At 53.9% G+C, this 25,695-nt stretch overlaps 1 protein-coding gene, 1 long non-coding RNA gene and 1 pseudogene across 15 annotated transcripts in view, besides 8 other annotated features; 2 read left to right on the top strand and 1 right to left on the bottom strand.

The window, feature by feature from the left end:
• Positions 1–23,868, bottom strand: part of ZSWIM4 (zinc finger SWIM-type containing 4) — a 36,812-nt gene extending 12,944 nt beyond the window's left edge. For 4 of the 12 annotated variants that reach the window (XR_007066949.1, XM_017027153.2, XM_047439236.1 and 1 more), the window contains exons 1-9: positions 23,510–23,868; positions 19,390–19,591; positions 14,163–14,519; positions 10,327–10,475; positions 10,091–10,241; positions 6,147–6,314; positions 4,446–4,796; positions 1,958–2,143; positions 1,335–1,589 (exon numbers count right to left, since the gene is read on the bottom strand). Coding sequence is in view for 11 of the 12 variants with exons in the window: in XM_017027153.2 (XP_016882642.1) it covers positions 1,335–1,589; positions 1,958–2,143; positions 4,446–4,796; positions 6,147–6,314; positions 10,091–10,241; positions 10,327–10,475; positions 14,163–14,519; positions 19,390–19,591; positions 23,510–23,662 (1,972 nt within the window). In the remaining variant the exon portion in view is untranslated. The other 8 variants (NM_001367834.3, XM_017027154.2, XM_024451657.2 and 5 more) reach the window with 8 other exon arrangements.
• Positions 52–719: an enhancer, noted in NCBI's record as "H3K27ac-H3K4me1 hESC enhancer chr19:13929406-13930073 (GRCh37/hg19 assembly coordinates)". NCBI's record gives its function as "activates a minimal SCP1, AML or CMV promoter by ChIP-STARR-seq in primed H9 embryonic stem cells {active_cell/tissue: H9 hESC(primed)}" and the evidence as "EXISTENCE:reporter gene assay evidence [ECO:0000049][PMID:30033119]".
• Positions 720–1,388: an enhancer, noted in NCBI's record as "H3K27ac-H3K4me1 hESC enhancer chr19:13928737-13929405 (GRCh37/hg19 assembly coordinates)". NCBI's record gives its function as "activates a minimal SCP1, AML or CMV promoter by ChIP-STARR-seq in primed H9 embryonic stem cells {active_cell/tissue: H9 hESC(primed)}" and the evidence as "EXISTENCE:reporter gene assay evidence [ECO:0000049][PMID:30033119]".
• Positions 1,389–2,056: an enhancer, noted in NCBI's record as "H3K27ac-H3K4me1 hESC enhancer chr19:13928069-13928736 (GRCh37/hg19 assembly coordinates)". NCBI's record gives its function as "activates a minimal SCP1, AML or CMV promoter by ChIP-STARR-seq in naive H9 embryonic stem cells {active_cell/tissue: H9 hESC(naive)}" and the evidence as "EXISTENCE:reporter gene assay evidence [ECO:0000049][PMID:30033119]".
• On the top strand, positions 1,469–9,338 carry LOC107985334 (uncharacterized). Of its 3 annotated transcripts, none has more exons than XR_001753877.2 (5): positions 1,469–1,557; positions 2,709–2,809; positions 5,871–6,081; positions 6,281–6,517; positions 8,088–9,338. It is a non-coding gene; the product is annotated as an uncharacterized LOC107985334 (long non-coding RNA). The 3 variants fall into 3 exon arrangements; XR_001753876.2 differs by lacking the exon at positions 8,088–9,338 and adding an exon at positions 7,789–7,963; XR_007067143.1 differs by lacking the exon at positions 5,871–6,081.
• Positions 1,481–1,610: an enhancer, noted in NCBI's record as "active region_14138". NCBI's record gives its function as "activates an Ori minimal core promoter by ATAC-STARR-seq in GM12878 lymphoblastoid cells {active_cell/tissue: GM12878}" and the evidence as "EXISTENCE:reporter gene assay evidence [ECO:0000049][PMID:35858748]".
• Positions 3,992–4,249, top strand: RN7SL619P (RNA, 7SL, cytoplasmic 619, pseudogene; annotated as a pseudogene).
• Positions 6,429–6,629: a silencer, noted in NCBI's record as "peak3376 fragment used in MPRA reporter construct". NCBI's record gives its function as "represses an SCP1 promoter by STARR-seq MPRAs in K562 erythroleukemia cells {active_cell/tissue: K562}" and the evidence as "EXISTENCE:reporter gene assay evidence [ECO:0000049][PMID:32103011]".
• Positions 23,205–23,274: an enhancer, noted in NCBI's record as "active region_14137". NCBI's record gives its function as "activates an Ori minimal core promoter by ATAC-STARR-seq in GM12878 lymphoblastoid cells {active_cell/tissue: GM12878}" and the evidence as "EXISTENCE:reporter gene assay evidence [ECO:0000049][PMID:35858748]".
• Positions 23,515–23,724: a silencer, noted in NCBI's record as "silent region_10210". NCBI's record gives its function as "represses an Ori minimal core promoter by ATAC-STARR-seq in GM12878 lymphoblastoid cells {active_cell/tissue: GM12878}" and the evidence as "EXISTENCE:reporter gene assay evidence [ECO:0000049][PMID:35858748]".
• Positions 23,745–24,234: a silencer, noted in NCBI's record as "silent region_10209". NCBI's record gives its function as "represses an Ori minimal core promoter by ATAC-STARR-seq in GM12878 lymphoblastoid cells {active_cell/tissue: GM12878}" and the evidence as "EXISTENCE:reporter gene assay evidence [ECO:0000049][PMID:35858748]".

Genomic DNA, 25,695 nt, shown 5'->3' with positions numbered 1-25,695 from the left:
GCCCTTCCCCAGGTCTCACTAGACCCCAGGCTTTAAGTAGAGGGTGGGCTGGCCCCTGGGTAGAGTGGCTGTGGCTAGATGGGTCTCTGGGGTAGGGGTTCAGGTCTGAGACTGAGGCAATCTCTGGGTAATCCAAATAAAAGAGGAGGCCTGGCGCGGTGGCTCACGCCTGTAATCCCAGCACTTTGGGAGGCCGAGGCTGGCGGATCACGAGGTTAGGAGTTCGAGACCATCCTGGCTAACACGGTGAAACCCCGTCTCTACTAAAAATACAAAAAAAATTAGCCAGGTGTGGTGGCAGGCGCAAGTAGTCCCAGCTACTCGGGAGGCTGAGGCAGGAGAATGGCGTGAACCCGGGATCGGAGGGTGCAGTGAGCCGAGATTGCGCCACTGCACTCCAACCTGGGAGACAGAGCGAGACTCCGTCTCAAAAAAAAAAAAAGAGGAGGCAGGGGACCACGGCTCATGCCTGTAATCCCAGCACTTTGGGAGGCCGAGGCGGGCAGATCACTTGAGGTCAGGAGTTTGAGACCAGCCTGGCCAACATGGGGAAACCCCATCTCTACTAAAAATACAAAAATCAGCCGGGTGTGGTGGCGCACGCCTGTAATCCCAGCTACTCGGGAGGCTGAGGCAGAAGAATCACTTGAACCCGGGAGGCAGAGATTGCAGTGAGCCGAGATCGCGCCACTGCACTCCAGCCTGGGTGACAGAGTGAAGACTGTCGCAAAATAAAAAAGGAAAAAAGGAAAAGGAAAAGAAGAGACTCCAGGCACACTCGCAGGTGAGGAGCAGGACTCAGATACAAGGTGGGGCCAGAGGGTGGAGGTGGGGCTGCACCTGCCTTGGGGAACGGGACCAGCGGCCAAGACCAGCAAGTCCGATAGCGTAGGGGGCCTTGAAGGGGCAGGGATAAACGGCTCCCTGTAGCGCTAGGGGACGGAGTCTCACAACACACAGGTCAATAGGGCCTGGCCATTGGCGGGGCCAATGAGGAGCAGGCCGGGACAGGGGCGGTGTCTAAGTTGCGGATGAAGGTGGGACGCCCTCGCTTTAACATCAACCACTTGGCTCACTGGCTCCCGGGAGGGAAGGGGGCGGCGCCTCAGCACACGCAGCAGTTGCTGGCTGGCAGCACGCACTAGGTGGCGGGAAAAAGAGCTGGCTCTCTCCTTTTAGAAACTGCCAAGGTATGAGGGGACAGTATCACCAGGAGGCGGGGCTAGGGGCGGGGCTGGGGCGGGGCCTCCCATCTGGCAGCAACCGGGCCGCTACAGGACCAGGGGCTGGACCCTACCCTTCAGCAACAGCCAGGCCTAGGGGCGCGGCCTCACCTTCCAGCAGCAGCCCCGCCTGCTTGCGCAGCACCTGCACCAACCGCTCATCCAACTCCACCTCCTCCAGCAGGGCCAGCAGCTGCTCCTCGTTGCGCACCACCTTGTCCTGGGCGTACAGCCCCTCCGGCAGGGCCCGCTGCTGCCCCAGCCCCAGCAGTGCCACCTCCAGCGCCAGCACCAAGTAGGACTCCCCAGGGCTCCCGGGCACAGGCACGTGCTGGTAGGCCACCTTCCGCTTCTCGGGGCCTGAGTCTGGGGGAGACAGGGCCAGGGCTGCTGGAGACGGATCCCCTTCCCTAAGGTCCCTGTAGCCCTTGGCCTCAAGCATGGAGACCTGGGCGCAGGGTAGGCTTTAGAGGGAGCCCAGAAGCTCCCAGCACTCACGGGGTTGGGGGAGCGCGGGAGCCCCACCTTCTAGCAGCAGCTAGGCCTATGGTGGCCTCACTTTCAGGAGAAGCTAAGCCTATTGGCTCTGGGCACTGGCCAGAGGAGGTAGCCAAGGGTAGGGGCGTGGCCAAGGGTCAGAGTCTGGGAGTTACCTTATAGGGGTACTGGGCCAGGGGGCGTGGCCAACGAGGCGGGGTTGTCCCACCTCCTCCAAGAGTACCCCATGTGAGTACCTGGGTAAAGGGTAAGTGTCTCCTCCTCCAGACGACAGGCCTCCAGGAGCGCCCTGCAGAGGCAGCCAATGGGGTCCAGGGGGTGCCCCACCCATCCTTCGGTGTTGGTGATGCAGGTGGAGCCCTTCTGGAGCAGCTCTGCAGGTGGAAAGAGGGGGCTCAATGCCCACACACCTGCCCAAGTCTCTAGGAGGGAGGGATATTCCTCTTCTTGACCTGCCAGCCAGCCTAGCCCCATAATGCCCACCACCTGCTCACCCAATGGTCACCTTCAACTTTTTTTTTTGAGGTGGGGTCTCGCTTATTGCCCAGGCTGGAGTGCAGTGGCCCAATCATAGCTCACTGCAGCCTCTGGAGCTCAAGCGATCCTCCTGCTTCGGCCTCCCAAAGGGATTACAGGCATGGGCCACCATGCCTGGCCACTGGACGCTTTCTAAAACACCCGAAGTGTCATTCCCCTCCTCATTGCCCTTATTCCCTCTCCACCTCTCTGAAGATAAAGCCCCAACAGCCTTTAGGGCCCCCAAGGACCAGTATGAAGTTTTTCCATATACTGGTGACCTGCCTCATCTGGAGGCCAATCCTCCAGCCTCGTCCTCCAAGCCACGTACTCTCTTCCCTCCTGGCTGCTGCTCATGGTGTTCCTTCTATTCTGAGCACTTCCTCCATCCCCTTCTCCTGGGTAACTCCTGCACATCCTTTTTCTTTTTTTAAATTTTTTCTGAGATGGAGTTTTGCTCTTGTTGCCCAGACTAGAGTGCAATGGCGTGATCTCAGCTCACCACAACCTCCAGGTACCTCCCGGTTCAAGGGATTCTCCTGCCTCAGTGTCCTGAGTAGCTGGGAATACAGGTACGTGCCACCACACCTGGCTAATTTGTTTTGGATTTTTAGTAGAGATGGGGTTTCACTATGTTGGCCAGGCTGGTTTTGAACTCCTGACCTCAGGCACTCCACCTGCCTCCACCTCCCAAAGTGTTGGGATTACAGGTGTGAGCCACTGTGCCTGGCCATGCACATCCTTAAATACTCAGCTAATTAGCCACCTGGCTAATTTTTAAAATCTAGGGGCCTTTCACTGATGCTGCCAAGCCTGGTCAGAGCTCTGCTCGGGTCCCAGGGCCCCCATGTTTCCTCCACGACACACTTTTCTTCGTTCAATTTCCTGATAGCTGATCCATCAACCCCATCGACTAGCTCTCTCAACTGGTGGCCTCCCTCCTGTCCCCCACCCCCATATCTAGTACACAATGTGGTTTTTGGGGCTCATACAGCCTCCTTCCCTCCCTCCCTTCCTTCCTTCCCCTCTCTCTCCCCCCATCTCTCTCTGTCCCTCCCTCCCCACCTCTTTCTTTCCTCTTCTCTCTCTCCTCGCTCTCCTCTCTCTCTCTTTTTTTTTTTTTAATTTTTTGAGACGGAGTCTCGCTCTGTCACCCAGTCTAGAGTGCAGTGGTGTAATCTTGGCTCACTGCAACCAACCTCTGCCTCCCAGATTAAAGCAATTCTCATGCCGCAGCCTCCCTAGTAGCTGGAAATACAGGTGTGCGCCACCACGCCTGGCTAATTTTAAAAATATTTTCAGTAGGCCAGGCACGGTGGCTTACACCTGTAATCCCAGCACTTTGGGAGGCTGAGGTGGGTGGATCAAAAGGTCAGGAGTTCGAGAAGAGCCTGGCCAACATAGTGAAACCCCATCTCTACTAAAAACACAAAAATTAACTGGGTGTGGTGGTGGGTGCCTGTAGTCCCAAGCTACTCAGGAGGCTGAGGCCGGAGAATTGCTTGAACCTGGGAGGCAGAGGTTGCAGTAAGCTGAGATTGCGCCACTGCACTCCAGACTGGGCGAAAGACCGAGACTCCATCTCAAAAAAAAAAAAAAAAAAAAAAAAAAAAAAAATTTCCAGGCACGGTGGCTCAAGCCTGTAATCCCAGCACTTTGGGAGGCCAAGGCAGGCAGATCACCTGAGGTTGGGAGTTCGAGACCAGTCTCACCAATGGAGAAACCCCATCTCTACTAAAAATACAAAAAAATTAGCCGGGCATGGTGGCGCATGCCTGTAATCCCAGCTACTTGGGAGGCTGAGGCAGGAGAATCCCTTGAACCTGGGAGGTGGAGGTTGCGGTGAGCCGAGATTGCTCCATTGCACTCCAACCTGGGCAACAAGAGCGAAACTCTGTCTCAAAAAAAAAAAGAGATGAGGTCTTGCTCTGTCACCCAGGCTAGAGTGCAGTGGCATAATTATAGCTCACTGCAGCCTTGAACTCCTGGGCTCAAGTGATCCTCCTGCCTCAGCCTACAGAGTAGCTGGGACTACAGGTGTGAGCCACCACATCCAGCTAATTTTTTTTTTTTAATTTTTGTAGAGACATTGTCTCACTATGTTGCCCAGGCTGATGTTGAACTCCTGGCCTCAAGCAATCCTCCCACCTCGGACTCCCAATGTGCTGGGATCACAGGTGCGAGCCCCCGTGCCCGGCTGAGGCTGACCTTTTTTCTGCTGCTTGTAGCTCTCTAGCTGATGCCGCTGCTGCAGCCGGAGTGTGTTGATGATGGCACTTGCCAGCCGCAGGGCCTGGCGGGGGTATCCGTGGGCACGCAGGGTGTCCACACGGGCACAGGCAGTGGGGAAAGGTTCTCCCAGCCACAGTGGGCGGCCCTGGGGGTCGAAAGTCGGTTTGTCCCCACCCACGCTGCCTGTGAGGCTGGGCCCGTAGGAGTCACTGGCCAGGATCCTCTGCAGGTAGGCGTCATTCCAGTGTAGCTCTCCAGCCAGCAAGGCGCGGCCAAATACCGTGTGGCGGGGACTTGTGGCTGCCACCTCTTCCTCTTCCTCCGAGCCTGCAGAGAGGCACCCAACATGGCTCAGTGAGGGGGGGTCCCTATAGCAGTTGAGCCGTGTCCAGCTTTTCCCACCAAGTACTAACTGGGGTTTAGGCCTGGGCAAAGCTATGGGCATACATCATCTGCCCAGTCCTTGAAGCCACCCTTCAAAGATGCATGTGTAGGCTGGGCATGGTGGCTTACACTTGTAATCCCAGCACTTTGGGAGGCCAAGGTGGGAGGATCACATGAGGCCAGGAGTTCGAGACCAGCCTGGCCAACATGGCGACACCCCATCTCTACTAAAATTAACCCTGGCGTGGTGGTGCACACCTGTAATCCCAGCTACTTGGGAGGCTGAGGAATGAGAATCGCTTGAACCCAGGAGGCAGAGGTTGCAGTGAGCCAAGGTTGCGTCACTGCACTCCAGCCTGGGCATCAGAGTGAGACTGTCTCAAAAAAAAAAAAAAAAGGATGCGTGTATGTGTTAGGAGCTAGTACAGGCCCATCACATTGATAGGAAACTGAGGTTGAGCAACTAACTGGCTGTCTGTCTTCCTCTTCCTACTTGCTATTTTTCTTTTCTTTCTTTCTTTCTTTTTTTTTTTTTTTGAGACAGGGTCTCACTCTGTCGTCCAGGCTAGAGTGCAGTGGTGCGATCTTGGCTCACTGCAACCTCCGCCTCCCAGGCTCAAGCGATTCTCCCATCTCAGCCCCCTGAGTATCCGGGATTCCAGGTGTGCGTCACAACACCCAGCTAATTTTTGTATTTTTTGTAGAGACAAGGTCTCACCATGTTACTCTGGCTGGTCTTGAACTCCTGGCCTCAAGCAATCTGCCCCCCTCAGCTTCCCAAAGTGCTGGGATTACAGGCGTGAGACACCATGCCTGGCCTGTACTTGCTATAAATTTTTTTTTCCCTCTCTCCTCAATCTCTCTCTGTCTTCCTTCCTATCTGCTCCTCTGTCTGCCTCTCCCTCTCTCCATCCATCTCTGCCTCTCTTCACTTGTTTCTCTCTCCTCAATATCTCACTTTCCCCTTCTGTTTGATTCCTCCTTTTTTCCTCTCTCATCCTCTCTTTGGTCCCATAGCTAGCAGAAGGCCAAGCCAGACCAGCCCAGGACTGCAGGTGTTTTAAGCATTTTACTTCACTTGCCCACTTGGGCTGCCATTGCTCCTGCCCTTGGCACTCGCTCTTTCCTGGCTAGACAAGTTGGGATTAGTCCTGGAAGAACAGCCAAGGACTGGGGTCTGCTTTGCTCTGCCCCACTCCCTCTCTCTCCTGGGAAGAGGACCATGATGGTAAGTGGGGCCACAGTTAGTGGTGATGGTTTTTGGGGGGCATGGTAAAGACCCCTCTCTCCTACCTGGGGCGGGGGCCATGGTGGGCTGCAGGCTGGGGCCGTCGAAGGAGTAGTTGCCCTCTTCCAGTGGGCAGACGTCGAGCTTGTCCCACCTGCTGAGTAGCTGGAGCCAGCCTGCCCTTTCCTCTGGTTTGCAGTGGGGGCTCAGGACGACGCAAACCCACAGGGCCCCTGAGGAGGCACGGGGCAGGCTCAATATTCCTGCCAACAGTGGCAGCAACACACACTTCCGCAGTGCCCACTGTGTGCCACCTGATGATCTGCTAACCCCTCACCTCGACCCTCGGAAGTTGCAACTCGCAGCCTTTGCACCTTACAGACAAGCAAACTGAGGCACAGAGACATAACACGGCTTGCACAGGGTCACACCGCTGGTAAGTTAGAAGTTGGGATTAGAGGGTCAGGCGTGATGACTCACGCCTGTAATCCCAGCACTCTGGAAGGCTGAGGCAGGCGGATCACCTGAGGTCAGGAGTTTAAGAACAGCCTGGCCAACAGGGTGAAGCCCTGTCTCTACTGAAAATACCAAAAAAAAAAAAAAAAAGCCAGGCATGATTGTGGGTGCCTGTAATCCCAGCTATTCAGGAGGCTGAGGCAGGAGAATGGCTCGAACCCGGGAGGTGGAGGTTGCAGGGAGCTGAGATCACACCACTGCACTCCAGCCTGGGTAAAAAGAGCAAAACTCCATCTCAAAAAAAAAAAAAAAAAAGTTGGGATTACATCCCGGGCCTCTGTAGTCCTAGCTACTTGGGAGGCTGAGGCACAAGAATCGCTTCAACCCAGGAGGCAGAGGTTGCAGTGAGCCGAGATCACACCACTGTACTCCAGCCTGGGCAACAGAGTGAGACTCGATCTCAAAACAAAACAAAACAAAAACAAAAACAAACAAACAAAAAAACCAGGCCTCCAGACTCCTCTCAAGGTGTTTTGGGGTTTTTTGGGTAGCATTTATCACCATCTCATGCAGGGGTCTGCGAACTAGCAAACCACTGCCCATGGTGAAAACTGAACCACCCTTTATTTTTGATTAGCCTGCACGCTAAGATTTATTTTTCCCTTTTTATTTGTACTTGTTTTTATTTATTTATTTTTTGAGACAGAGTCTCACTCTGTCACCCAGGCTGGAGTGCAGTGGCGCAATCTCAGCTCACTGTAACCTCCACCTCCTGGGTTCAAGCGATTCTCCTGCCTCAGCCTCCCAAGTAGCTGGGATTACAGGCGTCCGCCACAATGCCTGGCTAATTTTTGCATTTTTAGTAAAGGCGGGGTTTCACCATGTTGGCCAAGCTGGTCTCGATCTCCTGACCTCAAGTGATCTGCCCACCTCGGCCTCCCAAACTGCTGGAATTAAGGTGTGAGCCACTGCACCCGGCCTATTTTTCCAGTTTTAAATGGTCAGGGAAATACAACCAAAAGAATATTTTGCAACTTGTGGGAATAATATAAAATTCAAATAAATTAGTAAGTATCTATAAATAAAGCCGGTTTTTAAAAAATTTAGAGACAGGGTCTCATCATGTCGTCTAAGCTGCACTCGAACTCCTGGGCTCAAGCAATCCTCCTGCCTCACTCAGCCTTCCAAGTAGTAGGGAGTACAGGCTCCTGCCACTGTGCCAAGCGCCTTTTTTTGTTGTTGTTGAGACAGGGTCTTGCTCTGTTGCCCGGGCTGGAGTGCAGTGGTGTGATCATGGCTCACTGCAGCCTCAACCTCCGGGGCCCAAGTGATCCCCCTACCTCAGCCCCGCAAAGTGCTGGGATTACAGGTGTGAGCCACTGCACCTGGCCTCCCAGCTCTTAAATAAAGTTTTATTGAAATGCTACCATGCCCGTTTGGTATATATGTCTGTGTCTGCCTTTTTTACTATAATAGACAGAGTGAGGTCTTCATGACAGAGACCAGATGGCCTGCAGGGCTGAATAACATTAACTCTGTGTCTCTTACAGAAAACACATGTTGGCCGGTGCGGTGGCTCATGCCTGTAATCCCAGCACTTTGGGAGGCCTAGGCAGGCGGATCACGAGGTCAGGAGATCGAGACCATCCTGGCTAACACGGTGAAACCCCATCTCTACTAAAAATACAAAAAATTAGCCGGGCGTGGTGGCAGGCGCCTGTGATCCCAGCTACTCGGGAGGCTGAGGCAGGAGAACAGCGTGAACCTGGGGGGCGGAGCTTGCAGTGAGCCGAGATCGTGCCACTGCACTACAGCCTGGGTGACAAAGCAAGACTCCATCTCAAAAAAAAAAAAAAAAAAAAAAGGCTGGGCGTGGTGGCTCACGCCTGTAATCCCAACCCTTTGGGAAGCCGAGGCGGGCGGATCATGAGGTCAGGGGATCGAGACCATCCTGGTTAACCCAGTGAAACCCCGTTGCTACTAAAAATACAAAAAAATTAGCCGGGCGTGGTGGTGGGCCTCTGTAGTCCCAGCTACTCGGGAGGCTGAGGCAGGAGAATGGCATGAACCCAGGAGGCAGAGCTTGCAGTGAGCTGAGATTGTGCCACTGCACTCCAGCTTGGGTGACAGAGCAAGACTCCGTCTCAAAAAAAAAAGAAAAAAGAAAAAAGAAAACATATGTTGGCTGGGTGTGGTGGCTCACGCCTGTAATCCCAGCACTTTGGGAGGCTGAGGCGGGTGGATCACGAAGACAGGAGTTCGAGACCAGCCTGATCAACATGGTGAAACTCCGTCTCTACTAAAAATACAATAATTAGCTAGGCATGGTGGCACGCACCTATAATCCCAGCTACTGAGAAGGCTAAGGCAGGAGAATCATTTGAACCCAGGAGGTGGAGGTTGCAGTGAGCCGAGATCGTGCCACTGCACTCCAGCCTGGGAGACAGGGTGAGAGTCCGTGTCAAAAAAAGAAAACAGGCCAGGTGCCGTGGCTCACACCTGTAATCCCAGCACTCTGGGAGGCTGAGGCGGGTAGATCACAAGGTCAGGAGATCAAGACAACCCTGCCTAACACAGTGAAACCCCGTCTCTAATAAAAAAAATACAAAAAATTAGCCGGACTTAGTGGCGGGTGCCTGTAGTCCCAGCTACTAGGGAGGCTGAGGCAGGAGAATGGTGTGAACCCGGAGGGCGGAGCTTGCAGTGAGCCAAGATAGTACCACTGCACTCCAGCACTCCAGCCTGGATGACAGAGCGAGACTCCTTCTCAAAAAAAAAAAAAGAAAAGAAAAGAAAACAAACAAACAAAAATATGTCAGCTTGGTACAGTGGCTCATGCCTGTCATCCCAGCACTTTGAGAGGCCAAGGCCAGAGGATCACTTGAGCCCAAGAGTTTGAAGTTACAGTGAGCCGTGACTGTGCCACTGTACTTCAGCCTGGGCGCACAGTGAGATCCTGTCTCTAAAAAAAGAAAAAAAGAAACAAAACATGTAGGCTGGGTGTGGTGGCTCATGCATGTCATCTCAGTACTTTGGGAGGCTGGGTGAGAGGACTGCTTGAGTCCAGGAGTTCAAGACCAGACTTGGCAAGATAGTGAGACTCTGTCTCTTCAAAAAATTAAAAATTAGCTGGATGTGGTAGTGTGCACCTGTAGACCCAGCTACTTGGGAGGCTGAGGTGTAGGATCACTTGAGTCCGGGAGGCAGAGGTTGCAGTCAGCCGAGATTGTGCCACTGCACGCCAGCCTGGGCAACAGAGTGATACCCTGTCTCAAAACAAAGAAAACGTGTGTACGTGTGTATCAACCCCTGGGCCAATGACATTTGATTGCCTGTGCCTCCTGTCAGATCCACGTGAACAGGATTTTGACTCTCTTGTTCTCTGCCGGACCACCAGTGCCCAGTACCATGCCTGGCACTTTAGAGGCGCTCATAAATGTTTGCCAAACGAATGGAGGGCGGATTCAGGGAACAGACCCTAATCTTGGAGTGGGCCAGCCCCCATGGGAGCCGAAGTCCCGGTGTCCACCACGCACCGGGGTTTGGGCCTCACCCAGCTCATCCCAGAGCTGCCGGCACTTGTCCGTCATGCCCGCGCCCTGCTGCCGCCACAGGGCCAGGCGCGTGTCCTGCAGGAACTGCTCGGTCATGAGAATCAGCATGCGCGCCCCGTTGGAGTCCCGCATTCGCAGCATCTCCCGCACCTGTGCCGGGGACAGGGTGGTGAGGAAGGGCTGGGGCGTCCGCCGGGGCCTTCTGCACCCCGCGCCCCGCCGGCCCGCACGGCACCTTGCTGAACATGGAGCGCAGCTGCTGGCTGGCCCCGTAGTAGCCGCCATTGGACAGTAGCTGCTTCACCTGCTCCTGGATCTGCTCCTCGTCCAGGTGCCAGCAGTTGGCGTCCTCGATTCCTGCGCCGGCGGTGGGGTCTGGGGCACCTGCCGGGAGGGAGGGAAAGGAAGCTGAGGCTGGGGCTGGAGTTGGGGTTGGGTTGGGTTGAGGAGAGCTGTCCTTTTTTTTTTTTTTTTTTTTTGGAGACGGAGTTTGGCTCTTCTTGCCCAGGCTGGAGTGCTGTAGCACGATCTTCGCTCACTACAACCTCTGCCTCCCGGGTTCAAGTGATTCTCCTGCCTTAGCCTCCCAAGTAGCTGGGATTACAGGCACGCCCCACTACACTTTGCCAATTTTTTTTGTATTTTTAGTACAGGCGGGATTTCACCATGTTGGTCAGGCTGGTCTCAAACTCCTGACCTCAGGTGATCCACCCGCCTTGGCCTCCCAAAGTGCTGGGATTACAGGCATAAGCTACTGTGCCCGACCCATCCATCCATTCTTCCAAGTCACCCAACCCAGTCTAAAGTTCCATCCATCCCACCTAAACCCCACCCACCCATCTGCTTGTCCATCCCACCCGACCATCTATTCATGTTTATCCATCCATCCATCCCTCCATCAATCCATCTATCTTGTCCTAAACATGACTAGCTCATGCATCCATTTTCTCATTCATCCACTTAGTCATCTGATATGGTTTGGCTCTGTGTCTCCACCCAAATCTCATGTTGAATTATGATCCCCAGAGTTGGAAGTGGGGCATGGAGGGAGGTGACTGGATCATGGGGATGGTTTCTAATGGTGTAGCACCATTCCCTTAGTGTTGTCTCATGATAGAGTTCTCATGAGATCTGGTTGTTTGAAAGTGTGTAGTGTCTCCCCCTTCGCTCTCTCTCTCCTGACAGCCATGTGAAGATGTGTTTGCTTCTCCTTCACCTTCCGCCATGATTGTAAGTTTCCTGAGGCCTCCCCAAATGCAGAAGCCTGTGTAGCTTGCAGAACTATGAGCCGATTAAACCTGTTTCCTTTAAATTAACCTGTTTCAGGTATGTCTTTATAGCAGTGTGAGAACAGAGTAATACATCACCCATCCAATCCATTCATCTATCTTACCTGAAACACAACACACCCATACACCCATACACCCATCCATCCATCCATCCATCCATCCATCCATCCATCCATGCATCCATCCATGCATCCATCTGTCCATCCATCCATGCATCCATCCATCTTGTCCAAAACGCCACCAGCTCATCCATTTGCTCATTTATCCACTGAGTCATCCATCCAATCCATCTATCTCCCCTGTAGTAATATTCATCCATCCATCCATCCATCCATCCATCCATCCATCCATCCATCCATCTTGCCCAAAACACCAGGAGCTCATTCATCCATTTGTTCATTCATCCATTTACTTACCCATCCAATCCATTCATCTATCTCTCCTGAAACACTACACATCTATCCATCTACCCATCCACTCATCCATTTACCCATCCCACTCAAAACACCACCGACCCATCTGTTTACTCATCTGTCTCACCTGAAACACAACCCACTTATCCACCCCCACCCAAGTCATGCCAGCCTCTATCTACCTGGCCATATCCCCCATTTCACTTCATCCACATGTCCATACCCTTTAAACAACCACCTACCCCATCATGGGTCCATCATCCACCCTACCCATAATTCCCACCCATCCACCCATCTATATACTCATCTTATTGATCTATCTGCCCACTCACCCCTTTTATCTTTCCAATCCACGTGAACTAACCACTCAAAATACCCACCCGCCCATTTGTCCATTGACCCACACAAGTACACTATCCACCCCACCCAGTAACTATCATCCAATAACTAACCCTAGTTATCTAGGTGATAACTATTAGTTATCACCCAATAACTAATCCTAACTCTCTATGCTTCCATTAAACCACCCATTCATTATCAAACCATCCATTCATATGTACCTCTCAAAACACCCACTACCCCATTCGTCCATCCATCCACCCTACACAAAGCGCCCACCCACTCTGCCCACCCACGATGTTGATCCACATATGTGAACCTTCCTTCCATTCACCCATCAACTCACTCCCAATGCATGTACCCATTGGATCTTTCATTCTTTCACTAACTTCATCTGTCCACCACTGTCAGTCTACCTTAACTCCACTAGTCAAAGCCCTCCCCACCCAACCACTCATCCTCACCTCCAATCACCACCAGTTCTGTCCTTCCCTTCTTTTTTTTTTTTTGTTTTTTGAGTCAGGGTCTCAGTCTGTCATCAGGTTGGAGTGTAGTAGCACGATCATAGCTGACTGCAGCCTTTACCTCCCACGCTCATGATCCTCCCATCTCAGCTTCCCAAGTATCTACAGGCGTGTGTGTGCCATCATGCCCAACTACTTTTGTTTATTTTTTGTAGAGAGGAGGTCTCCCTATTTTGCCCAGGCCGGTCTTGAACTGCTGGTCTCGAGTGATCCTCCTTCCTCAGCCTCCCAAATGCTGGGATTATAGGTATGAGCCACCACACTCAGCTTCCAATTCCCATTCACCTAACGGCATTGTTAATATCCCGTCCAGGCTGGGTGTGGTGGCTCACACCTGTAATCCCAGGACTTTGGGAGGCTGAGGCAGGTGGATCACCTGAGGTCAGAAGTTCAAGACCAGCCTGGCCAACATGGGGAAACCCCTGTCTCTACAAAAATACAAAAATTAGCCGGGCATGATGGTGTGCATCTGTAATCCCAGCTACTCAGGAGGCTGAGACAGGAGAATTGCTTGAACCCAGGAGGCAGAGGTTGCAGTGAGCTGAGATTGCACCACTGCACTCCAGCTTGGGTGACAGAGGAAGACTCCATCTCAAAAAAAAAAATATCCCCCACCCACCCATTCGTTTTTCCACACCATCAGTTGCCCTCAGTGACTGATCATGAACGCTTTTTTTTTTTTTGGAGTCAGGGTCTCACTTTGTCTCCCAGGCTGGAGTGCAATGGCGCGATGTCAGCTCACTGCAACCTCTGCCTCCCGGGTTCAACCCATTCTCCCACCTCAGCTTCCTGAGTGGCTGGGACTACAGGCACCCACCACCACGCCCGGCTAATTTTTATATTTTGGTAGAGATGGGGTTTTGCCATGTTGTCCAGGCTGGTCTTGAACTCCTGACCTCAACTGATCCGCCCACCTCGGCCTCCCAAAGTGCTGGGATTACAGGTGTGAGCCCCTGCGCCCAGCCAATCACGAACACTTTCTGTACCCACCCAGCACCTCCCTCCATCATCCATCCATGCCTCCACCTACTACTCACCTTCCCCATCCTAGCTAGGCAACCCAAGCCCCTCGGAGCCCCCCAAACCCTCCCAGCCCTCACCACGCCTCCTGGTGTATCCCCTCACCCATAACACCTCTGACACCCACAAACGTCCCACATTCCCTTCACGCCCCCTCTTCTCCTCCCATACCCAGGATGCTCCATCTATTGACATACCCAGCCCTGGGGCCAGACCTCCCACTTGCCCTCTAACGCAGGATCTCCCCTCCTGCCCTCGCCCTCTGCCCGTAGGCTGATTTGCAACTACTCATCTGTCCTGTGTCCAGATATCTGGGATCTGCCACTCACCAGGTGGGTGACCTCAGATGATGCAGGCCATGGCGCGTTTTCCGCCCCCCGCCCCCACAACTTTCTGTCAGTAAGTGACCAGCACTGGGCACACAGCAAGTGGCGTGGCTGTGCGCTTGGGCATCCTCTCCCCACCGGACCCCCGGGGTGCCCTTACCATTCACCAAGTTGATCTCGGAGCCCAGCAGGAGGATCTCATCAGCCAAGCGCTGAGCAGTGGGCAGCACCTCAGTGTGATGGGCGCTGATGAGGTACTGCACGAACTTCTGCAGCTGGTCCCGGTTCATCTGGGAGAGCGTCTCGGAGATGGGCAGCCGCAGCTCCACCTGGTGGGCGTGCCGAATGCGGTACAGGGACAGGGCCACCACGTGGGCACAGTAGAAGAGGTCGCGGTTGTCACAGCCGCAGCTCACGGACGTGATCTTGCAGCGATCAAAGCTGATGGAGACATGGTAGAGGCGCTCGGGCTCTCCAGGACTCCCTGGCTCGCGGATGTTTCCGCTCAGGTGGAATCCTAGGATCAAAGCCAAACTGTCGCATCCGTGTCATCCCAGAGACAGGCGGTGTTTGTGGTACACAGCAAGACCCGGTTGCAAAGCCCAGCCGAGTCACTTCACTAGCACAAGTCACCTCACTCACTTTGCATTTTTTTTTTTTTTGAAACAAAATCTCGCTCTGTGGCCCAGGCTGGAGTGTAGTGCTGCGACCTGGGCTCACTGCAACCTCCGCCTCCCAGGTTCAAGCGATTCTCCTGCTTCAGCCTCCCAAGTAACTGGGATTACAGGCACACACCACCATGCCCGGCTAATTTTATTTATTTATTTATTTATTTATTTGGGACAGAGCTTTGCTCTGTTGCCCAGGCAGGAGTGCAATGGTGTGATCTCGGCTCACCGCAACCTCCACCTCCCAGGTTCAAGTGATTCTCCTGCCTCAGCTTCCCGAGTAGCTGGGATTACAGGCATGCGCCACCATGCCCGGCTAATTTTGTATTTTTAGTAGAGATGGGGTTTCTCCATGTTGGTCAGGCTGATTTTGAACTCCTGGCCTCAGGTGATCCGCCTGCCTCAGCCTCCCAAAGTGCAGGGATTACAGGCGTGGGCCACGGTGCCCAGCCTAATTTTTGTATTTTTAGAAGAGACAGCCCGGCGCAGTGGCTCATGCCTGTAATCCCAGCACTTTGGGAGGCCGAGGCTGGTAGATCACCTGAGGTCCGGAGTTCAAGACCAGCATGGCCAACATGGTGAAACCCTGTCTCTACTAAAAATATAAAAAAATTAGCCGGGCATGGTGGCGGGCGCCTGTAATCCCAGCTACTCAGGAGGCTGAGGCAGGAGAATGGCTTGAACCCGGGAGGCAGAGGTTGCAGTGAGCTGAGATCGCACCATTGCACTCCAGCCTGGGTAACAGAATGAGACTCTGTCTCAAAAAAAGGCTTAGAACGCTGTTGGTATGAAGTTAAGTCCTAAGTAAACACTTGCTTTTTTTTTTTTTTTTTTCTGAGACAGAGTCTTGCTCTGTCACCCAGGCTGGAGTGCAGTGGCGCTATCTTGACTCACTGCAACCTCCGCCTCCTGGGTTCAAGCGATTCTCCTACCTCAGCTTCCTGTGTAGCTGGGATTACAGGCGTGCACCACCATGCCCGGCTAATCTTTTGTATTTTTAGTAGAGATCAGGTTTCACCATATTGGCCAGGCTAGTCTTGAACTCCTGACCTAGTGTAGTCTTGAACTCCTGACCTAGTGATCCACCCGCCTCGGCCTCCCAAAGTGCTGGGATTATAGGCGCGAGCCACCGAGCCCAGCCCAACACTTGCTCTTATTTTAATTATGAATAGTATCATACCATGACATTGAAGGTGGTTTTCTGATTCCTTGGGTTACAATGAATATGGCCAGGGCTTCAGGAGCCCCTCAATTTCCTGAGAAAATGCCAAAGACCCGTGGCGCTTGGGGCGAGGGGCTGATGAAGTAAGCCAGGGGCCAGGTGTCCCCTTCACTCCCCCTGCCCCTCCCTGGGCAGCCCAGGTGCCAGGCTCATCTGACTGGTTCGGCAGCTCAGGCCCAGCCTGGGTCATGCAGGGAGATGGCTTCCTCATACCAGCTGGAGGTGGCAAGGAGCCCGTGGTCAGCGGGGCCATGTCCCAGCAAAGGGGCTCCAAAGCAGATAGAGCCGACGGGGCATCATATCAGCCCAGCCCCGACCTCTAGCTGGGAGAAATGGCCTGCTGCAGCCAGAGGTCTGGAGTCCCAGGCCTCACTTTTGTTTTCTGGCTCAGCCTCTACTGGTCCCTTTCTGAGTCTGGCTGCCTGAGATCCAAGGCCTTTCCACTATTCTCATTACATCTCTCCCAGTCTCTGCAGCCCTTTTGTTTTCTTAGCTTGAGGTCTGAGCCCACCCTTCACAGCTGATCTTAACCTGATACTTGGCCAGGCATGGTGGGTCACGCCTGTAATCCCAGTGCTTTGGGAGGCTGTGGCAGGAGGATCTCTTGAGCCCAGGAGTTCGAGACCAGCCTGGGCAACAGAGTGAGACCAGGTCTCTACAAAAAACTTAAAAACTAGTCAAGTGTGGTGGCCTGCGCCTGTGGTACCAACTACTTGGGAGGCTGAGGTGGGAGGATCACTTGAGCTCAGATGTTTGTGGCTGCAGTGAGCTATTATCGCGCCACTGCACTCCAGCCTGGGCAACAGAGTGAGACCCTATCTCCCTTTTTTTTTTCTTTTGAGACAGAGTCTCTCTCTCTTGCCCAGGCTGGAGAGCAATGACATGATCTTGGCTCACTGCAACCTCTGCCTCCCGGGTTCAACTGATTCTCCTGCCTCAGCCTCTCAAGTAGCTGGGATTACAGGCATGTGCCACCACACCTGGCTAATTTTTGTATCTTTAGTAGAGACGGGGTTTCACCATGTTGGCCAGGCTGAACTCCTGACCTTAGGTGATCCACCCGCCTCAGCCCCCAAAGTGCTGGGATTACAGGTGTGAGCCACTGTGCCCGGCCGAGACTCTATCTCTTAAAAAAAAAAATTTGGCCAGGCGTGGTGGCTCATGCCTGTAATCCCAGCACTGTAGGAGGCTGAGGCGGGCGGATCACTAGGTCAGGAGATCGAGACTATCCTGGCTAACACGGTGAAACGCCGTCTCTACTAAAAAATAGAAAAAATTAGCTGGGTGTGGTGGCAGGTGCCTGTAGTCCCAGCTACTTGGGAGGCTGAGGCAGGAGAATGGTGTGAACCCAGGAAGTGGAGGTTGCAGTAAGCCGAGATTGTGCCACTGCACTCCAGCCTGGGCAACAGAGTGAGACTCCATCTCAAAAAAAAAAAAAAAAAAAATTCTAAGCTGGGCATGGTGGCTCACACCTGTAATCCCAGCACTTTGGGAGGCTGAGGCGGGTGGATCACGAGGTCAGGAGTTCAAGACCAGCCTGGCCAACATGGTGAAACCCTGTCTCTACAAAAATACAAAAATTAGCCAGGCATGATAGCGGGTGCCTGTAGTCCCAGCTACTAGGGAGGCCGAGGCAGGGGTATTCCTTGAACCTGGGAGGTGGAGGTTGCAGTGAGCTGAGATCGTGCCACTGCACTCCAGCCTGGGCAACAGAGCAAGACTCCATCTCGGAAAAAAAAAAAAAAAAGAATTCTAAACTTCTACTCTACATTCCCACCTCAGCCCTGTTGCCTTAGGTCTAAGACCATTGCTCAACAATAGCTCTAAGCCTTTGAAATCCCAGCCTCTCTGCCTGAGGTCTAAGACTCTCACCTGTGGCTCTAAATCTTTGTGTCCAACTCCCACGTGGGCCCCACTGCCTGAGGTCTAGGATCATTCTTACCTCTGGCTCTAAACCCCTGGCCCAAAGCATCACTGGGTCCCTCAGCCCGAGGTCTGGAGCCTCCTCTCACTGCTGGCTGACAGCTGCTTCTCTGATCCTCAGCTGGGACCTGCTCTTCTCTCCGTCTCACTACTTCATTCCCCATTCCCCAGCTCAGCAGCCTGAGGTCTAGGGCTCTAGGAGCACTTTCCACCTTCAGCTCATAATCCCGAACCCAACCCCATCTGGACCTGAAGCCTGAGGTCTGGCACCTTCACCACCATGTCTCAACCTCTACCCTTGTCCCTAGAGTGGCCCTCACCTCTCTTCCTTTTTTTTTTTCTTTTTTCTCTTTGAGATAGCATCTCGCTCTGTAACCCAGGCTGGAGTACGGTGGTGCAATCATAGCTTACTGCAGGCTCGACCTCTCGGGCAAAAGCGATCCTCCTGCCTTGGCCTCCCATGTACCTGGGACCACAGGCACCCGCCACCATGCCCAGCTCATTTTTTGATTTTTTTGTGAAGACAAGGTCTCATTGTGTTGCCCAGGCTGGTCTTGAACTCTTGGCCTCAAGTGATCTTCCTGCCTTGGCCTCCCAAAGTGTTGAGATCACAGGTGTGAACCACCACATCTGGCCTCACCCCTCCTTTACATGGGCTCTGATGTGTAAGTTCTGGGATCTCTCCTCCCCTGTTTCTGGTTCACCATCCTCTCCCCCAACCCCTTGTCTAAACCCTGCTGCCTGGGTTCTAGGGTGATCCTTGAGCTTTTGCTCAAAACATCGTGTACAGGCTGGGTGTGGTGGCTCATGCCTGTAATCCCAGCACTTTGGGAGGCCGAGGTGGGGGGATCACGAGGTCAGGAGATCGAGACCATCCCGGCTAACACAGTAAAACCCCATCTCTACTAAAAATACAAAATACAAAAAATGGGGCCGGGAGCGGTGGCTCACGCCTGTAATCCCAGCACTTTGGGAGGCCGAGGCGGGTGGATCACGAGGTCAGGAGATCGAGACCATCCTGGCTAACATGGTGAAACCCCGTCTCTACTAAAAATACAAAAAATTAGCCGGGCTTGGTGGCGGGCGCCTGTAGTCCCGGCTACTTGGGAGGCTGAGGCAGGAGAATGGCGTGAACCCGGGAGGCGGAGCTTGCAGTGAGCCGAGATCGCGCCACTGCACTCCGGCCTGGGCGAAAAAGCGAGACTCCGTCTCAAAAAAAAAAAAAAAAAAAAAAAAAAAAAAAAAAAAAAAGAAATACAAAAAATTAGCTGGGCGCGGTGGCGGGCGCCTGTAATCCCAGCTACTCGGGAGGCTGAGGCAGAATGGCGTGAACCCAGGAGGCGGAGCTTGCAGTGAGCCGAGATCGCGCCACTGCACTCCGGCCTGGGCCAAAGAGCGAGACTCCGTCTCAAAAAAAAAAAAAAAAAAAATCTTGTACAATCCTATCTGGGCCTCGAAGCCTGAGGTCTGTAACCTCCCATCCCCTGGCCCCAGGCCTCCCTCCAACTCCCCCATTTCCAGGCCTGGTATGGACCTCCTGGCCTCCCCAGCAGGAGTGGGGGACAAAGACTCACCCACTTGCAACACGCGGTCCACGGCCCCGCTCTGGAGCAGGTGCAGCCCGCGGGTAAAGGGCACCCGGGCATCGTGCTCGCCCTCTGGGGGCGGGTAACCCAGCGACGAGTACATACATATTTCCCGTTCACTGCGTGGAAACGACCAAAACACGATGCGCTTCTGGACGGGCTCAGGCACCCGGGAGAACCGCTCCTCCACCTGTAGGAAGGGCCAGTGGGTTAGGAGCCTGGGGTTGATGTAATCCCAGCGCTTTGGGAAGCTTAGGAGGGAGGATCGCTTGAGGCCAAGAGTTCGAGACCAGCCTGGGCAACATAGAGAGGCTCCCATCTTTACAAAAAAACTGGCCGGGCACGATGGCTCACGCCTGTAATCCCAGGATTTTTGGGAGGCCGAGGCAGGCAGATCACCTGAGGTCAGGAGTTCAAGACCAGCCTGGCCAACATGATGAAACCCCATCTCTACTAAAGATAAAAAAAATTAGCCGGGTGTGGTGGTGAGCACCTGTAGTCCCAGCTGCTCGGGAGGCTGAGGCAGGAAAATCGCTGGAACCTGGAAGGCAGAGGCTGCAGTGAGCTGAGATCATGCCACTGCACTCCAGCCTGGGTGACAGAGCAAGACTGCATCTCGAAAAAAAAAAAAAAAAGATAAAAAAATAAAAAAATAAAAAAAATTAGCCAGGCATGGTGGCATGCATCTGGAATCCCAGCTACCTGGGAGGGTGGGGCAGGAGGGTCACTTGAGGCCATGAGTTTGAGGCTGCAGTGAGCCATGATTGCACCAGCGGCACTCCAGCCTGGGCAACAGAGCAAGATCCCATCTCAAAAAAAATAGGTCAGGGCAGTGGCTCATGCCTGCAATTCTAGCATTTTGGGAGGCCAAGGCAGTTGGTGCACTTGAGTCCAGGAGTTCGAGAGCAGCCTGGCCAACATGGCGAAACCCCGTCTCTACTAAAAATACAAAAATTAGCCAGGTGTGGTGGCATGCACCTATAATCTCAGCTACTTGGGAGGCTGAGGCGCGAGAACCACTTGAACCCGGGAGGCGGAGGTTGCAGTGAGCCGAGATTGCGCCATTGCACTCCAGTCTGGGCCACGGAGCGAGACTCCGTCTCAAATAAATAAATAAAAATAAAAAAACAGAGAAACCGAGGCTTGAATCCTAGCTTTACTATTTAGGAGCACTGTGACCCCAGGCAAGTCACTTGGCCTCAGTATTCTCAGGTGTAAAGTGGGGAGGTCCACGGCACCAACCTCTTGAGGATTGTGGAGACTAAATATGCAGTATGGATGTAAAGAGCTTAAAGAACTTACAATAACACCTGGCCCATAGTTAGCATTCTAGAACTTTCTTGCGGTTTCCCTCCTGGATCCTCCTAGCTGCAGGGTCTTGGGATTCTGTTGTGAGATCTTCCCACCCACCAGGCTTTGGTGGAGCAGGAAGAAGTTAGAAAAAAGTGATAATAATGATTAAGGTGCCCATCTTGGCTGGACACCTGTAATCTCAGCACTTTGGGAGGCTGAGGCGGCAGCATTGCCTGAGCTCAGGCGTTCCAGACCAGCGTGAGCAACATAGTGAGACCCCATGTCTACACACACACACACAGAATTAAAAATTAGCCAGGTGTGGTGGTGGGCGTCTGGAATCCCAGCTACTCAAGAGGCTGAGGCAGGAGGATTGCTTGAGCCCAGGAGTTTGAGGCTGCAGTGAGTTATGATTGTGTCATTGCGCAATCATTGTTTCACTGGGCTACTGAGCAAGGCTCTGCCTCAAAAGAAAAGAAAAAAGAAAAGAAAAGAAAAGAATGCACACACTATGCTGAACACTTTATGTATGTAATTTCCAAATTCTCACAGCCACCTAGTGTGAGCTTGTCCAACCCACGCCCCACGGCCCTGGCCCAGGAGAGCTTTGAATGCAGGCCAACACAAATTCGTAAGCTTTCTTAAAACATTATAAGATACGTCCGGGTGCGGTGGCTCATGCCTGTAATTCCAACACTTTGGGAGGGAGGCCAAGGTGGGAGGATCACTTGAGGTCAGGAGTTTGAAACCAGCCTGGCCAACATGGTGAAACCCCATCTCTACTAAATATACAAAAATTAGCTGGGTATGGCGGCTCACACCTGTAGTCCCAGCTACTCAGGAGGCTGAGGCGGGAGAATTGCTTGAACCCAGGAGGTGGAGGCTACAGTGAGCCGAGATCGTGCCACTGCACTCCAGCCTTGGCAACAGACTGAGACTCGTTTCAGATAAATAAATAAATAAATAAATACAAAGATTTTCTTTTCTTTTCTTTTTAAGCTCATCAGCTATTGTTAGTGTTAGTGCATTTTATATGTGGCCCAAGACAGTTCTTCTTCCAGTGTGGCCTAGGGAAGCTAAAAGATTGAACACCCTTGATGGCACATTGATACTAAATCATGAACCTGTTTTATAGCTGGGAGAATCTGAGACTTAGTGGGATGAATTCACTTGTTCAGGGTCCCAGAGCTGTGAGTTGTTTCAACTCCTAAGACAGACTCTGTCGTTCCTCAGTTTCCCTTCCATGCCCCATCCCTGGGAAGGGGCCCCAGGAGGGGAGGGGGTGTCCTGGCCACCGCTGTGGGCTCTGGGCAATACAGTGAGCTGGCTGAGCCTGCCTTCCAATCTGGACTTGCTATTCCCTGGCTGGGTGACCTTGGGCAAGTTTCTCAACTTCTCTGTGCCCCAGTTTCCTCAAAGTGGGAACAAGAACAACTGCCAAAGGGTTGCAGGGGATTCCATGAGCTTCTGTGGGTCAAGAACTCTGAGGGCTCGGCTTGGCCAGGGCAGGTTTGTGGGAGGCTCGGAGATGGTTTTCAGATTGTTCTGTGTGTCTCACATGCAATGAAGGGGCCCTCCTTAGCCCCTACTCCACCTGGGTTTCTAGGGGAAGTGGGAGAGGCAATGACCAGCCCAGGCCTCAGGGACAGTTGGCAAATGACTAAGGAGGGATTTTCCAGTCCATGAATCAGAGCCTGCCCATCCACACTTGGCCCAAACCCATCCGTCCAGGCCGACTTCCTAACTCCAGAGAGGCCGGGCAGGAAAGAACGCCCCCTGAAGCTGGACAGAGGATAGAGCCCGTGTGTGCTTCCTGTTCAAGTCTGGGCCATGTCTCCAGTTCCTTGGGGGCCCACACTGAAGCTGAAAAAGGGGACTTAAAGGGCCCCAGCTCTGGGACATCCTGTCAGTGCCACCAGAAGCCACAGAAGAGAGCTTCTAGGTGCACCTGTCCAGGGACCACCACCCAGGCTCCGCCCCTGCTGTTTTCCTATGGGAAGAGATAGGATAGGTCAGGGGGATGAGGTGGGGAGGAGGAGGGACCCTGGCATTTCAGTAATCCCTGCGGCAAGCCAGGAGAAGACGGGCAGCCCCGAAAGAGGAATCTGGAGGAGTAGAGAGGGGTCCCCAAGGAACAGGTGGAATCTGGAGGCTCGAGGGCAGGAATGAATGGGGAAAAAAGGGGTGTCTTGAGCTGGAATCTGGAGAGATGGGGGAGTTATTTACTTGGGGTGTACGGTAGGGATCTGGAGAGCAGGAATGGGGTAGTGTGAGTCTCTAGAGGCTACGATGGAGGGAGACAGGGTGTCCCCAAGCGGGGGGCCGAAGAGAGGATTGAAGACTGAATGGGGTGCCCTGATTGGCGAATAAAGATGCGGTAGGAAAAGAGGGGTACCGTTGGGGGATAAGGTGGGAAAAGAGGGGTACCGTTGGGGGATAAGGTGGGAAAAGAGGGGTACCGTTGGGGGATAAGGCGGGAAAAGAGGGGTGCCCAGGGTTGTAGGCGGGCCATGGGGGCCAGATCTCAGAGATCTGGGGTTGGTAGGAGAAGAAGGAAGTGTCCTGATTTGGGATCTGGGGCGCTGAGGGGCAGAGATGGCAGAGAAGGGATGGGGGTGGGTTACTGGGTTTGAAGGACAGAAACAGGAGGATGAGGGGGTGTTTCCAGGCAGGGTTAAGGGTCCTGGGGGTGGAATCTCAGGGGGTGTCTCTGATTGGGTTAGCTCTGGAGTCTGGGGATTGTGGGGGAGGAGAAGACAGGTGGGGAAGGTGCTGGGGGTGCGTCCCTGCCCCCGCCCCCTTCCCCCGCGGTCACCTGCTCGAAGGCCCAGCTCTCGGCTACCCGCTTGGCGCTGAGGTCCAGCAGCGCCTCGGGCCGGCCCCGGCCACGCGCGGCCCCGGCCCCGGCATCGCGCTCCTCGGGTCCCGCGGGGCAGCCCCGGCTCCGCTTGGCCGCGGGGGGTTCCATCCGGCCCGGCCGGGGCCAGGGCCGGGGCGGGGCCTCTTTGGGGGGCTCGGTCCGATGCCCGCTCCGCTTCGCCGGCTCCCGCGCCCCCTGCCCTCCTTCCCGTCCGTCCTCTGCGCTCGGCCGCCCCGGGACCCCTACCGCACCCACCCCCGACCCGCGCCGGGCCGGCAGGGTGATGCGGCCCCTTTAAGACTCTTCACAACAATGAAGCTGCTTCAGCCGCCGCTTTAGCTCCGCCGTCGTCCCGCCCCCACCGCCTGTCCCTATTGGCCCCCCCTCGGCCTCCTCGGCCCTCCCCCGCCATTGGCTGCGCCGCCAGACCCGTGTCCAAGCCTCGCTGCTCACTCGATGACTGCGATGCCAGTCTTTTCTTGTTTACCCAACCAGAGCGCACAGCGAGGGGCGCTGTCAATCACGGGGCGCCAGAGGCCAATCAGAGTGGGAGGACCCCCGCGGCCCAGGCCTTATGCGGAGTTTCGGGGCGGGCCCGGGGTTCATTCACAACATTCCTCCCCCGCCTCTCTTGGGCTGGACTGCGCGCCCCAGGCTTCTGGGGCTGCGCCCACACACGGCTTTGTTTACTGAGGGTCGCTTCCGGGCGCCGCGAGGGGACAATCAACATAGCCCGGCCGGTGAGCGAGACAGAGCAGCGGGATCCCTTGGCAGTGGCTCAGCCCCTCGTCCCTCCCAGCTGTGCGACCCGAGAAACTCACTCAACCTCTCTGGGCACCGGGTCAAGTTTTGGTTCTTGTGGGGGCGGAGGGGTCGCAGGCTCACTGAGGGAGCTCATGCGGGCCGCGGACCCCCTCTCCAGAAACAAAGCTCGGTTAGGGGGTTCATAGGTCATCCCTTGAGCCTCAAAACTAGTATAGTACCCCGCCCCTCCTTTCCATGCCCTAGATACTATCTTGGGTCATATGAAATTGCTAATTTTTTTTTACCATTTTTGGCCTGTTAAAATGGCAATTCCATGAGGTTCACCCTAACACTTAATCAAACCCCAGCACCTCTGAGCATTTTTTCTGACTCAGCTTGTGTAGGCCACCGTCTCTGGCCTGGAAGCTGGCCATGGCTTCCATCACCCGTTCCCGTCCCGGCTCCTTGCCAATGTCCTCAGAGGACCCTGCATTTTTCCTTCCTCATACTTCTCACCATTACCATTTATTTATCTGTTTCGGCGGTTTTTTTTTTTTTTTTTTTTTTTTTTTTTACGGAGTTTCACTCTTGTCGTCCAGGCTGGGGTGCAGTGGTGCGATCTCGGCTCACTGCAACCTGCGCCTCCCGGGGTCAAGTGATTCTCCTGCCTCAGCCTCCCGAATAGCTGAAATTATAGGCGCCCACCACCACGCCCGGCTAATTTTTGTATTTTTGGTAGAGACGGAGTTTTGCCATGTTGGCCAGGCTGGTCTTGAACTCCTGACCTCAAGTGATCCACCTTTGGTAGTTGCTTAATTTCAATCTCTCCCTCTCCACTGTGAGCCTCAGGAGGCAGGAGTTTGTCCCATCTGTGCTTTACTGTACCGGCAGCACCTGGAAGGTAGGCGCTTAACCTAGAACTTGTTGAATGTACCAACCAACACATGCTTTGCCTCCATTCAGTTAAATGATAGGCACAGCAGAAAAAAAAAAAAAACAGTGATTATCCACTCATCCATATGGAAGCCCTAGCTTTTTCTTGGAGAAACTTCGAGTCTCACAGCTGCACCCTCTGGCCAGTCTTCACCCACTCTCCCTGCCACCCCCTCAATTAGTTAAACTCCCCTGCAGACCTGCACTGTCCAGTATGGTCACCAATGGCCACAAGTGGTCTCTGAGCCCTTGAAATGGGACTGGCTGAAATTAGGTTGTGCTGGAAAGGTAAAATACAGAGTGGATTTTGGAGACATAGCAGGAAGGGAACAAGGAAAAATATTTCTTTTTTTTTTTTTGAGATGGAGTGATCTCAGCTCACTGCAACCTCTGCCTCCCAGGTTCACGTGATTATTCTGCCTCAGCCTCCCAAGTAGCTGGGGCTACAGGCACCCACCGCCACG

This window comes from Homo sapiens, chromosome 19, assembly GCF_000001405.40.
Source record: "Homo sapiens chromosome 19, GRCh38.p14 Primary Assembly".
In the NCBI taxonomy this organism is placed as follows: Eukaryota; Metazoa; Chordata; class Mammalia; order Primates; family Hominidae; genus Homo; species Homo sapiens.
The sequence above is the reverse complement of the archived record's forward strand: the minus strand, read 5'-3'. Positions and strand labels throughout refer to the sequence as shown.